This window comes from Homo sapiens, chromosome 8 (assembly GCF_000001405.40).
Source record: "Homo sapiens chromosome 8, GRCh38.p14 Primary Assembly".
NCBI lineage: Eukaryota > Metazoa > Chordata > Mammalia > Primates > Hominidae > Homo > Homo sapiens.
Window position 1 is genome coordinate 123,314,937 of NC_000008.11, and position 13,927 is coordinate 123,328,863.

A 13,927-nucleotide genomic window follows, 5' to 3' on the forward strand; every position below is an offset into this window, starting at 1 on the left:
GTCAGCCCCCCGCCCCACCAGCCACCCCGTCCGGGAGGGAGGTGGGGGGGTCAGCCCCCTGCCCGGCCAGCCGCCCCATCCGGGAGGGAGGTAGGGGGGTCAGCCCCCCGCCAGGCCAGCCGCCCCGTCCGGGAGGGAGGTGGGGGCATCAGCCCCCCGCCCGGCCAGCCGCCCCGTCCAGGAGGGAGGTGGGGGGGTCAGCCCCCCGCCCGGCCAGCTGCCCCGTCCAGGAGGTGAGGGGCGCCTCTGCCCGGCCGCCCCTACTGGGAAGTGAGGAGCCCCTCTGCCCGGCCAGCCGCCCCGTCCGGGAGGGAGGTGGGGGGTCAGCCCCCCGCCCGGCCAGCCACCCCGTCCGGGAGGTGAGGGGCGCCTCTGCCCGGCCACCCCTACTGGGAAGTGAGGAGCCCCTCTGCCCGGCCAGCCGCCCCATCCGGGAGGGAGGTAGGGGGGTCAGCCCCCCGCCCGGCCAGCCGCCCCGTCTTGGAGGGAGGTGGGGGGATCAGCCCCCCGCCCGGCCAGCCGCCCCGTCCAGGAGGGAGGTGGTGGGGTCAGCCCCTCGCCCGGCCAGCCGCCCCATCTGGGAGGGAGGTGGGGGGGTCAGCCCCCCGCCAGGCCAGCCGCCCCGTCCGGGAGGGAGATGGGTGGGGGGGTCAGCCCCCCGCCCGGCCAGCCGCCCCGTCTGGGAGGTGAGGGGCGCCTCTGCCCGGCCGCCCCTACTGGGAAGTGAGGAGCCCCTCTGCCCGGCCAGCCGCCCCGTCCGGGATGGAGTTGGGGGGGTCAGCCCCCCGCCCGGCCAGCCGCCCCGTCTGGGAGGTGAGGGGCGCCTCTGCCCGGCCGCCCCTACTGGGAAGCGAGGAGCCCCTCTGCCCGGCCAGCCGCCCCGTCCGGGAGGTGAGGGGCGCCTCTGCCCGGCCGCCCCTACTGGGAAGTGAGGAGCCCCTCTGCCCGGCCAGCCGCCCCGTCCGGGAGGGAGGTGGGGGGGTCAGCCCCCCGCCCGGCCAGCCGCCCCGTCCGGGAGGGAGGTGGGGGGTCAGCCCCCCGCCCGGCCAGCCCCCCCATCCGGGAGGTGAGGGGCGCCTCTGCCCGGCCGCCCCTACTGGGAAGTGAGGAGCCCCTCTGCCCGGCCACCACCCCGTCTGGGAGGTGTACCCAACAGCTCATTGAGAACGGGCCAGGATGACAATGGCGGCTTTGTGGAATAGAAAGGCAGGAAAGGTGGGGAAAAGATTGAGAAATCGGATGGTTGCCGTGTCTGTGTAGGAAGAAGTAGACATGGGAGACTTTTCATTTTGTTCTGTACTAAGAAAAATTCTTCTGCCTTGGGATCCTGTTGATCTGTGACCTTACCTCCAACCCTGTGCTCTCTGAAACATGTGCTGTGTCCACTCAGGGTTGAATGGATTAAGGGCGGTGCAAGATGTGCTTTGTTAAACAGATGCTTGAAGGCAGCGTGCTCGTTAAGAGTCATCACCACTCCCTAATCTCAAGTACCCAGGGACACAAACACTGCGGAAGGCCGCAGGGTCCTCTGCCTAGGAAAACCAGAGACCTTTGTTCACTTGTTTATCTGCTGACCTTCCCTCCACTATTGTCCTATGACCCTGCCAAATCCCCCTCTGTGAGAAACACCCAAGAATTATCAATAAAAAATAAATAAATAAATTTAAAAAAAAAAAAAAAACCAAATTACTGATACATGCTACAACACTGATGAATTTCAAAAACATTATGTTAAGTGAAAGAATCCAGATGTAAAAGACTATATATTATTTCATTTACAGGAACTGTCCAGAAAATGCAAATCTATAGAGACAGAAAGTAGGTTAGGGAATGCCTGGGGTTGGGGGTAGGAGGCCTGACTGCAAATGGGCACGAGGAAGAGACTGGAAATCTCTCTTTTGGGGAGATGGAAATGTTCTAAAACTGATTCATGCTGATAGTTGCACAACTCTGTAAATTAACAATCATTAAATTGTACTGTTAAGATCAGTGAATTTTATGATATATAAATTATACCTCAATAAAGATGTTAACAATAAATTAAAAAATACATGTAAGAATTGGAGACAATATTTTTTATGCTTGAGGGTCTCTAAAGGCCTTGCTCAGGATCTGCTGCTTATAGTAAATGAAAGTTGAAAAAAATACATATTTATTTTATATGCTTTTACTGGTTAAGAATTACATTCCACTATCAGTAACAGAGATCCACTCAAGGATACTGAACAGCAATTCCCTAAAATTATCATGCACACACACATACAGATGCTTCTTAACTGTATATATGTGTATATGTGTGTGTGTATAGGAAGCTCAGAAGGCAGAAAGTACTCTCATCCTTGCCCTTCCAGAGAGCTTTCCTAGAAACTGTGTGCAATTCCCTATCTCATTGGCTAGAATTTAGTCACGTGGCCATATTTTGCTGCAATGGATGAAACATAACTTTCCAAATGGGACTTTGTTACAAATAACGGAAGAATGGATATTAGGAGGCAAGTTGGCAATCTTTTCCTCAATGTCAGGGAGCAATCTCTTAATTACATTACTTTGAACAATAAAATACTCTGTATATAAGGTGGGGAGTAGTAGGGAGAAGACACGAGTCTAAAATAAGCTCAATTAACTCTACAATGTGTACATTTAGGGATCACTGATAGAACTGGCCTAAAAATAAATGGCAGAGTGTAACTCCTCACTCCTTAAGAGTGGGCTGTTCATTGTGTGACTTCTTTTCAGAGTACAGTTCAAAAGAGAGAAGTATAGTTCAGAAAAGATTAATTTTTCGGTGGAGAAACCTGAGAAATACTACTTAACTTGGTGATCAAAGTCAACCAATAGTCAAGAATCACATCACTAGTAGGCAACCTTGATATGACCACTTTGCCTTCCTTCCCCAAACCCATAGTCCTGGTCTGGTCATGAGAAAAACATTAGACTATTCCAAAATAGCTATCTTCCAAAATATTTGCCTGGTATCCTAAATATTGTTAATGTCATCAAAAATATCCACATCCATTGGGTTGTCTTTTTGTTGTTGAGTTTTAGGAGTTATATACATTATTTGTTGAAGCACAAAGTTTTAAAATTTTGATGAAGTCCAATTTATCTAACTGCCAAACTCAAGGTCATGAAAATGTCCTTGTTTTCTTCTAAGAATTTTACTTTTAGCTATTCAACTTAGGTCTTTAATCCATTTTGTTGTTGTTTTTTTTTTAAATCAACTTTTAAGTTCTGGGGTAAATGTGCAAGATGTGCAGGTTTGTTACACAGGTAAACGAGTGCCATGGTGGTTTGCTGCACACATCAACCCATTACCTAGGTATTAAGCCCAGCACACATTAGCTATTCTCAGATAGGGATCTAACTTCATTCTTTTGCATGTGAATATCCAGTTGTTCCAGCACCATCTGTTGAAGAAATGGTTCTTTCCTATTGAATAGATGTGGGCACTCTTGTTGAAAATCAAGTGACCATAGATATATTGATTTCTGGACTTTCTATTCCATTGACCTATATGTCTAACCTTATGCCTGTATTATACTGCTTTAATATATGTAGCTTTGTAGTAAGTTTCAAAGTCAGGAAGTGAGTTCTCTCCTTTTTCAAGATTTTTTGGGCTATTCAGGGTACCTTGCAATACATCATGATTTTTAGGATTTACTTTCCTATTTTTCAAAAAAAGGCCATTGGGATTTTGATGGAAATTGCATTGAATCTGTAGTCGCTTTGGGGATTACTGCCATCTTAACCAGTACTGTCTTCCAAACCATGAATACAGGCTGTCTTTCCGTTTATTTAGGTCTTACTTAATTTCTTTTGGCAACAGTTTGTAGTTATCAGTATGTTAAATTCTTATATATCCTTGGTTAAATTTATTCCTAGGTGTTTACTGTTTTAGATGTTATTATAAGTAAAATTGCTTTCATAATTTTCCTTTTGGGCTGTTCATTGCTAGTGTATAGAAATGCAACTGATTTTAGTATGTTTTCTATCTTGTAACTCTGCTGATTTTTTTTTTTTTTTTAAAGACAGAGTCTCACTCTGCCACCCAGGCTGAAGTACAGTAGTGCAATCTTGGCTCACTGCAGCTTTGACCTCCTGGGCTCAAGCTTTGACCTCCTGCCCTCAGCCTCCCAGGGAATAGCTGGGACTACAAGTATGTGCCACCATGCCCAGCTAATGATTGTATTTTTTTTGTAGAGACAGGGTTTTACCATGTTGTCCAGGCTGGCCCTGAACTCCTGAGCTCAAGTGATCCACCCACGTTGGCCTCCCAAAGTTCTGGGATTACAGGCATGCACCACCACATCCAGCCTGCTGAGTTCTTTTACTACCTCTAACAGATTTTTTGTGGATTCTTCAGGATTTCCTACATAATACAAAAATTAGCTGGGAGTGGTGGTATGCGCCTGTGGTCCCAACTACTCAAGAGGCTGAGGCGGGAGAATCGCTTGAACCTGGGAGGAAGAGGTTGTGGTGAGCCGAGATCATGCCATTGCACTCCAGCCTAGGCGACAGAGCAAGACTCTGTCTCAAAAAAGGATTTCCTACATATAAAATCATGGCATTTGTAAATAAAGAGAATTTCACTTTTTCCTTTCTGAGTTCCTTTTGTTTTTCTTGCGTTAACTGCACTTTTGAGCAACAAATGGGAGATAACATTCAACACTGCAATTTCAGCATGGTTTTCAAACTCTACATAGGAATGTAGACATAACACTTCTAAAATCTGTAGAAGACATTTCAGGAAGCACTTTAGTCGTTGTACCTAAAATACATGTACCATATAAAAACATTCCAGTGTCAACAGCACTTTAAATTTTCACAGTAATATATGAAAGAACAGACTTTACACTTCTTTTGCACAGAATTATCTTTGCTATGTTTTAAAATACTTAAGAAATAGAAACAAATTTAAGAGAGTTTTCACCTTTAAAATTTATTACATAAGCTATACACACAAAATGAAATCCTAGTTATAAAAGATGCATCTAGAAGAATAATTTATAATAAACCAACAAAAATGAGAATGTGTATCTCCAGGAATATAAATATATTTAAATGTTCTCAGTGACTGGCATTGCTTTATGCATTACATAAGATAGTATGTACTAATTAAGGTATTGAATTCACTGGGTTTTAGAAGGCTTTAAAAAAAATCCAGATAAATCAACAACAAAAATACAGCTCAACTTTGAACTGCATTAAAATCCAGAATCTCTCATTTTAGATGACCATTCCTTATTCCCCTCAAAAGGTTTCCAACAGAAGCTATTTCACAAACTGATTATTAGAATGTCTTCTCCCCACTCTCCCCAAAAGCAAGTATGCATGGAAGTGCATGCTTTTAACCTTAAGAAATGTATTTTTGGTACCATTAATATAAAATTATAATATTTATATTTATAAAATTGTATATAAAAAGTATCAATAGACTATAACCTAAACAGTTTTAGAAAGATATCAACAGCTTGCAAATATAAAAACCTTGTGCTATTAAAAGGTGTTTAACAAGGTAGTTATTAATACATTTGTTGTGTATATAATTACAAAAGTAAACCAAGAAATATTTAAAATCTTTATTAACCCAAATTAGAATTATAAAAATGTTTGTCTCAAAAACAATGACTGTGATACTCAAGTACAGAATTGTGGTGCAGCCAGAAGTGGTTCAAGAGCCCTCCCGCAAATCATGACTTGCACTCTGGCTTTTAAGTGAAGACGAGGGAATCTCAAGGCAGATGGGAGGAGGGCATTTGAAGAAAACAAAGATGACAAAAAAGATGGGAAGGACACAATGGTTAAGTAAGTTTCTTGTCAGATACAATAAACTATTTTTAGGAAGGATAAAATTAAAAGTGCTTAATACAAACAAAATTTAACGCTGCTAATTATTCTTAAGTGCCATAAAACATTAGTTACCAAAATAACTTTATTAAGAGTTGGCCAAACTTCAACTATTATTACTATTACTACAGGGTCTTGTTCTAGCAAAGTTCCAATATTTATCAGTTATCTTACACATGACATTTATCTTAATATGTACATAAATATCAGGAAAGTTTAAATACTTTTATTTTACTATTTTAATCTTTTCCTTAAAGATGCAGGGTTTCATACTACATCAATTAGGCGGACATGACAAAAATGACTTAAATAGGAACTGAATATAAAGAATACTCGATACCATGACATCATCATCTGGAACAACTGAAGTTTTCTACCTCTTGCTCCATTTTCTAGATAAAGGGGAGGAAGAGCAAATAGTAAGTTTCAATATGGAATAAGCTAAAGAAACATTTCATTACTTTTTCAGTAAACAACCTTAAGAATATTAATATTCAGGTATATATTTGATAGTGAAAATAAACATTCAGTTCAGTATTTAAGACTGCCACATAGATTTTACCTGTAGGACTTCATTATTTAAATAACTTTGAAATGAGTCTGGGGTGCATTCATCTTATGTTAAATTCAAATAGTATTAATCAAGGTACTGATGTAGTTAGAGTTTAGTATTTTACACTTTGTAGGTATCAATATTATATATATACTACATAGTATACTTTAGTAGGTATACTAAATACTATATATATACTAATGGTTATCATTTTTATATTTTGTAGTTACCAATAATATGCATATGTAAGTAATATCTTTTTTTAAAATTTAGCACTCTCTAGTGAAATGATCTGTTATTAAAAATAATAATAAGGCCAGGCATGGTGGCTCCTGCCTGTTAATGCCAGCACTTTGGGAGGCTGAGGCGGGAGGACCGCTTGAAGCTACGAATTTGGGACCATCCTAGGCAACATAGCAAAACCTCCATCTCTACAAAAAATTTAAAAATTAGCCCAGTGTGGTGGTGCTTGCCTATAATCTCAGTTACTTGAGAAGCTGAGGCAGGATTGCCTGAGCTCAGGAGTTCCAGGTTATAGTGAGCTATGTTCTTGCCACTGCACACAGAGAAAGATCCTGTCTCAAAAATAAGTATTAATGCTCTAATTAACACTATAATACCTACTATAAAGGAAGATTAAGTACATAAGTCTTTTTTTTTTTTTTTTGTCATACAGAGTCTTACTCTGTCAGCCAGGCTGGAGTGCAGTAGCTTGATCTTGGCTCACTGCAACCTCTGCCTCCCAGGTTCAAGTGATTCTCATGCCTCAGCCACCCGAGTAGCTAGGACTATGGGTGCACACCACCACATCTGGCTAGTTTTTGTTGTTTTAGTAGACATGGGGTTTCACCATGTTGGCCAGGCTAGTCTTGAACTCCTGGGCTCAAGCAATCCACCCGCCTTGGCTTCCCCAAGTGCTGGGATTACAGGCATGAGCCACTGTGCCTGGCTGACAAGTCTTAAAAGAAGCTATTATTCTTCATTAATACATACACACAAAAGGGGTATTCATAGTTTATGTTCCACTATTTATTAAAGACACAAACTATTGGCTGGGTGCAGTGGCTCACGTTTGTAATTCCAGTACTTTGGGAGGCTGAAGTGGCTGGATGGCTTGAGCTCAGGAGCTCAAGATCGGCGTGGGCAACATAGTGAAACCTCATCTCTACAAAAAACACAAAAATTAGCTGGGCATGATGGCAGGTGCCTGTGGTCCCAGCTACTTGGGAGGCTGAGGCAGGAGGATCGCTTGAACCTTGGAGGTGGAGGCTGCAGTGAGTGAGTTGAGATCGCACCACTGCACTCCAGCCTGGGCGACAGAGACCCTGTCTCTAAATAAATAAATAAATAAACAAACAAACTAATTAAGTTATAGATTGGAAAAATACTAAACTCACTTGCATTTAGAAATAATTCATAATCCACATATTAAAAATGATCTTTATGGAATGGGACATCAACTTTGGAAATAGAAAGATGGTCTTTAAGTTCCTACAATCAGTTTCTTACACAGATTAAATAAAGCCTCAACAATCCTACATAAGTGATATATTAATGTGACCACAAGAGCATTTGTAAAAAGTTTCCACTCAAGAGTTTACCTGAATAAGTGATGTTTTATCATGGTCCTTGCGATGCCGATAAATACATTGGCTGATTACTGCATACAAATTTTCCAACTGAAATATGTTGTAGTTTTGACTTTTTTTAACAACAGTCTTCAAAAGATTCTAAAAGAAAATATGAGTGTCAATATGTGTGAGAGAGAAACTTCCTCAGACAAGATACTTAATTTAGAAGGTTTGGGCAATTATTACAAGCCTGACAGAGGGTAGACCAAGCCATCTGATGACACAGGGCAGCCTCTGGCAGTGGCTCTGACATTTAAATGTACTTAAGTCTAGCTATAATCCTGGCCTTGACCTTGAGTAACTCATATTCTAAAAACTAGAGCTGAGGGGATTGCCAATTCTAAGTCTAGCCATAAGCATCTACAAACAAATTAAAAACTAACCTCAATTTAGATTAACAGGAGAAAAGCAAAGTTTTTTTGCAGGGGATTTTATGATAGTATAAGTACATTTTAACTAATTTTATTATGTGAAACTAAAAAAGATACTACATAAATGGTGAACTACCTCACCACTTCAGGGTTCTTATATAAAAAGGATTTTCCATCTGCTAAGTGTTTTTTTTCTCATGACTAAAATGGTGGACTTACTGGATTTCTGTAATTCTTCAAGTCTGGCCCTACCAGAATATGCTGCCATTACCTCATAATTAACAAAAACACACCATTATAGTTAAGTAAAAACCAACTAAAATGGCCATAGGTAATGGTCATAAAAACAATGTATGGGACCAATAATTTAGATCAGCAAGTTAAAAACTGCAATTTAATACATTAAATAGTCACCTCCAACTACATCCTTTATACAAATTATTCTATAGCAAGTATATCCTCTCATAAAAGGCCATTATTTATTGCATGCCTAATGGATATATGGTACTATTACATAGTCTATTTTGATGGGTTATATGATCAGAAAAAGTAAATTGAAATAGTCTCAGTAATGAATTTAATTGACTCTGAATGACATACATGTATACTGAGCAGAACAAAGCTGTAAAATTTATAAAAATTAAGTAAAATAATAATTGCTACTCTTAACCCCAAACAACATAACACGGTGAACTTACACACAAGTTCCTGTTTCAGCACTAGGAATACATTTCACTGTCATGAGATTTACATGGGTTTTCAGTTCCACATATATTTTTTAATAGAGTTTTTCAGAAAGACTACAGTTTTTTGAGAGAAACTACTCCAGGAATATTGCTGCTTCCTTCTCTAAGAAGTGTAGACATCAAGTTCTTATTAGCTCTGCTACATTCAAGAGAAAGGCTTTCCTAAGTTCATTAGTACTAACAGGTTCACTTTGTACTTAAACAGGGCAGATTTCCCTCTAAAATGCCAAAACTCTTATCTGTATTACAAATAATGTATCTCTGATAAACATATAATGTTTTCAGACTTGAAATGTGGCCAAAATAAAACAGGTAAATTGGAATTGGGATGCAAAATGTTTTTATTTTTGAAGGAAAAGGGCAAGAAATCAATCTTATTTCAAATATGTTAAGGCAACTGTAACACATCCAAGTTGTTGGTTGAGGAGATAAGACCGTTGTTTAGGTGTGTCAGGGTGTGGGGTTCCAGATGTAGGTTCACCGTTACAGAGGTGATGGCTATTCCAAAAGTACAGAATAATAGAGCAAATGATCAGAAAAACCCTGAGGAGCTTACAAAAGTAATTGAAGGCAAGGATGATTTAAGGACACAACAGTCAAGGAAGAAGAGTTATCTATAGTGTCAAGTGTTACAGATATGGCAAGAAGAATTCAATTTAACAAAGGCAAGTATTATTAGCTATTAGGATGTCATTTTATTACAGTGGTTAGGATGAAAATTGAATTTAGGGGAACAGGCAGGGGAACAGAATGAGCAACAGATAACCTGACAGCTGTCAGAATCACTTAGCTATTTTCTCTCTGATTCCTACCACAGATCCTTGGATATAATTCTTAATTTTGGGCCAGGCATGGTGGCTCATGCCTATAATCCTAGCATTTTGGGAGGCTGAGGTGGGAGGATTACTTGAGCTCAGGAGTTCGAGACCAGACTGGGCAACACAGTGAGACTTTGTCTATTTTTTTTTTAAGAATTAAAAATCTATTTTATATTAAAAAATAATAGTAATAATTCTTTTTTTTTTTTTTTTTTTGGAGACAGAGTTTTGCTCTTGTCATCCAGGCTGGAAGGCACGATCTCGGCTTACTGCAACCTCCACCTCTGGGTTCAAGTGATTCTCCTGTCTCAGCCTCCCCAGTAGGCTGGGAATACAGGTGCCCACCACCACACCTAACTAATTTTTTGTTTTATCTATTATTTATTTATTTATTTTTTTTTTGAGACAGAGTCTCTATCGCCCAGGCTGGAGTGCAGTGGCACAACCTCGGCTCACTGCAAGCTCCACCTCCTGGGTTCACGCCATTCTCCTGTCTCAGCCTCCCGAGTAGCTGGGACTACAGGCACCAGCCACCACGCCCAGCTAATTTTGTTTTTGTATTTTTAGTAGAGATGGGGTTTCACCGTGTTAGCCAGGATGGTCTCAATCTCCTGACCTCGTGATCCGCCCACCTCAGCCTCCCAAAGTGCTAGGATTACAGGCATGAGTCACTGCGCCCAGCCTAATTTTTTATTTTTAGTAAAGACAGGGTTTCACACTGTTGGCCAGGCTGGTCTCGAACTCCTGACCTCAGGTGATCCGCCCACCTCAGCCTCCCAAAGTGCTGGGATTACAGGCGTGAGCCACTGTGCCTGACCTAGTCTTAATTTGGAACAGGGGAAGGAGAAGAACAGTAAAGGGAAGCTTGGAGGAAAAAAAGTTTTACTTTTTCATGTAAATCCCATGTAGCCAGAATGCTACTAGTCACAAGCCAGTGTTTGGGGATTAGTAATCTGCAGAGTAAAAGCATTATGATTTCAATTTACATACTTTTAATCGCTCATGATCCACAACAAGTGAGGGTGTAGGCTGAGAAAGAATTGCCAAAGCCTTTTCAACAGTGATGAGCTGCTGCTGTTCTACCTGGGAACGTCTAGCTCGAGTCATTCGCAGAACACACATTTCTAGAATGAAAAATCAAATGATTATTATTTGGTCCATAGATATTATGATGTCTAAAATAAATAATAATATTAGGCAGATTAAACAGGGCATGTTTACTAAGGACATAAACAGCAATTCTGGCTTATTAACTCATTCTGTTATAAGATTAAGATACTGCCACTCATACACTCAAAAATTAAGGACAGTTTGAGAAGTATGTTTCATATTGAGTATTTCAAGGGGATTCTCAACAGGTTAGAATGTCTTCTACTTGAGCACAAGACACACAGAACTGAAAAGCTAGAAGGGACCTCAATAATCTAGAACAGGGGTTGTAAAATACCACCCATGGTCAAAATCTGGCCCACCACTGTAAATTATGTTTTATTAGAACACAGCCTGCCTGTAATCCCAGCACTTTGGGAGGCCAAGGCAGGTGAATCCCTTGAGTCCAGGAGTTCAAGACCAGCCTGGGCAACATGGGAAAACCCCATCTCTTTAAAAAAAAAAAAGAAAAAAAAATTAGCTGCGCATGGTGGTACATGCCTATAGTCCCAGCTGCTTGGGAGGCTGAGGTTTGAGGATCGTTTGAGCCGAGGAGGCAGAAGTTGCAGTGAGCAGAGATCATGCCACTGAAATCCAGCCTGGATGACAGAGCAAGACTCTGTCTCAAAACAAACAAACCAACCCAGCCATATCCATTTTATCTACTGTCAATGTAGTTTTCCCAGCAGGGTTGAGTAGTTGTCACAGAGACCAAGATTGTATGGGCCCCTGTGTAGGCTAAAGTATTTAACTATCTGGTATTTGGTTCTTTAAAGAAGTCTGCTGATCCATGATTTAGAACAATACATTCAATGATAAATGAGAAAAATAAGGCCAGGAGAGGTGAAGAGACTTTTCTTTCTTTTTTTTTGAGATGGAGTCTTTCTGTCACCCAGGCTGGAGTGCAGTGGCATGATCTCAGCTCACTGCAACCTCTGCCTCCACCTCCCGGGTTCAGGTGATTCTCCTGCCTCAGCCTCCAGAGCAGTTGGGACTACAGGCGTTAGCCACCACGCCCAGCTAATTTTTGTATTTTTAGTAGAGACAGGGTTTCACCATATAGGCCAGGCTGGTCTCGAACTCCTGACCTCGTGATCCACCCACAGCCTCCCAAAGTGTTAGGATTACAAGTGTGAGCCACCACGCCTGACCGTGAAGAGAGACTTTTCTAAGGATATACATCTAATTGTTGTGAGAGCCAGGATAAGAACTCAGACTTCCTGATATCGAAGCAAGTACCTGTACTGCTAAATAGTATTCTTTTTAAAAAGAAAATGATAAAAGAAAAATAAAACAAATCTGATTCAAACCAAAACATATTATACAGCCAGAAGATTAACATTTAAAATATTCACACTAGAAAGTATATCCTAGTCTATTATTGCTAATTACTCAAATACACTTAGAGCTCATGTCAAAGAAGCCCTTGCAAAAGGCTTGCATTCAGTGTATCAGCCACTAAAAAAAAAAAAGTCCATTAACTTAGTCAATGCTTATTTTTGACCAAAATAAATTTTTGGCCCCATTATCCACTATTTTGCTTTGTATGATTAAATAATGTTTGGCTTTTCTAAAATCCAAACAAATCTACTGTCAAGGGCTCCAGAAGATCCAAATGACAACAATTCTAAATAGAAAATTTGGGGAGCAGATCAGTAGAATAAATATAAATAATCTTGGACTTAACCTACAATAAGGGATAGAAAAATGATCGGGGTAAGAGTTGTTCATACCACTCAGCAAGAATCATAGCAGACTCTTATCTTGCTTAAAAATGAAAGGGTATCATATACTTTAGTTTGTTACATTTAATCTTAAAAATGCCTCATTACCAAGCAACTATCTTATCTACCCCAATTTTGCAGATAAGCAAACAGGCTGACAAGTTAAGTATCTTGCCAAAGGTCACAAGCTACTAAGTAGTGAACTGGAGGCTCAAATCTAGGTCTGTTTGATGCCACAGCTTGTAACTATCCTTACTAGCTCAATAGTAAAGATAATGCTATTGTTTTCTAATTAACTAACATCTGCTCTCTGAAAGGCAAGCAAAAAGCAATAAACTAAGATGCAATTAGGTGTTTAGAAACTTTGAAATATCTTTTAAAATCAGTAAATTATTTTAATTGAAAAAGACGTACCTTTTCCTTCATTTTCATCAGAAATATGTATTATCTGAGAGCTAGAAGCATCTCCATTACAAGCAATCTTGTCTCTCAATTCTGTACATGCTGTAGTCTTCCTAGAGTCTTCAAGCTCATTCTCTATATTACAAGTATTTGAATTATTTCTCAATTCCAGTTTGCTTTCAGAGGCATTTTGCTGTTTTTCATTTTCTTCCACCGAAGACTCTCCTGTGTTTCCGGTCTCATTATGATCTACACTTGTGTCTTGAGTTTCCTCTGTATCACTCTCAATTTTGTGATCTATGGCATTCTGGCTATCATCCTTTGCCTGTGAAATCTTCCTTCGCTTTTTTATGGTGCCTAAGTACCAGTTTGACTTTTTGCGAATTTTCCTCTTCAACTGAGCTTCAAGAAATTTAAAGAAAAATGATGAAAGAACATTCAACCATTTTCTGAAATTCAAAGAGTGAAAAACCCTGATATATGAAAGGATAAATAGTGAGAAACCACAGTATTTTGTATGATTAAAATACAGAAACAAGAATAGAGCATACTGTGAGAAGGTGGAGAAGTGGGTAAGGCCCAGACCATAAAATGGTAAAAAATTTTGATTTTATCTTGAAATTTTTTTTTTTTTTTTTTTTGAGACGGAGTCTCACTCTGTTGCCCAGGCTGGAGTGCAGTGGTGC

At 40.5% G+C, this 13,927-nt stretch overlaps 1 protein-coding gene across 6 annotated transcripts in view; it reads right to left on the reverse strand.

Moving 5' to 3' along the window:
- Positions 1–4,913: 4,913 nt before the first annotated feature.
- The window catches only part of ATAD2 (ATPase family AAA domain containing 2), a 96,501-nt gene continuing 87,487 nt past the window's right edge, over positions 4,914–13,927 (reverse strand). For 5 of the 6 annotated variants that reach the window (XM_047421723.1, XM_047421722.1, NM_014109.4 and 2 more), the window contains 4 exons: positions 13,254–13,643; positions 10,957–11,090; positions 8,002–8,130; positions 4,914–6,239 (listed from right to left, as the gene is read on the reverse strand). In XM_047421723.1, the coding sequence (XP_047277679.1) occupies positions 6,198–6,239; positions 8,002–8,130; positions 10,957–11,090; positions 13,254–13,643 (695 nt within the window). In that variant the 3' untranslated portion in view covers positions 4,914–6,197. The remainder of the gene's footprint in view (positions 6,240–8,001; positions 8,131–10,956; positions 11,091–13,253; positions 13,644–13,927) is intronic. The other variant, XM_011516994.4, reaches the window with a different exon arrangement.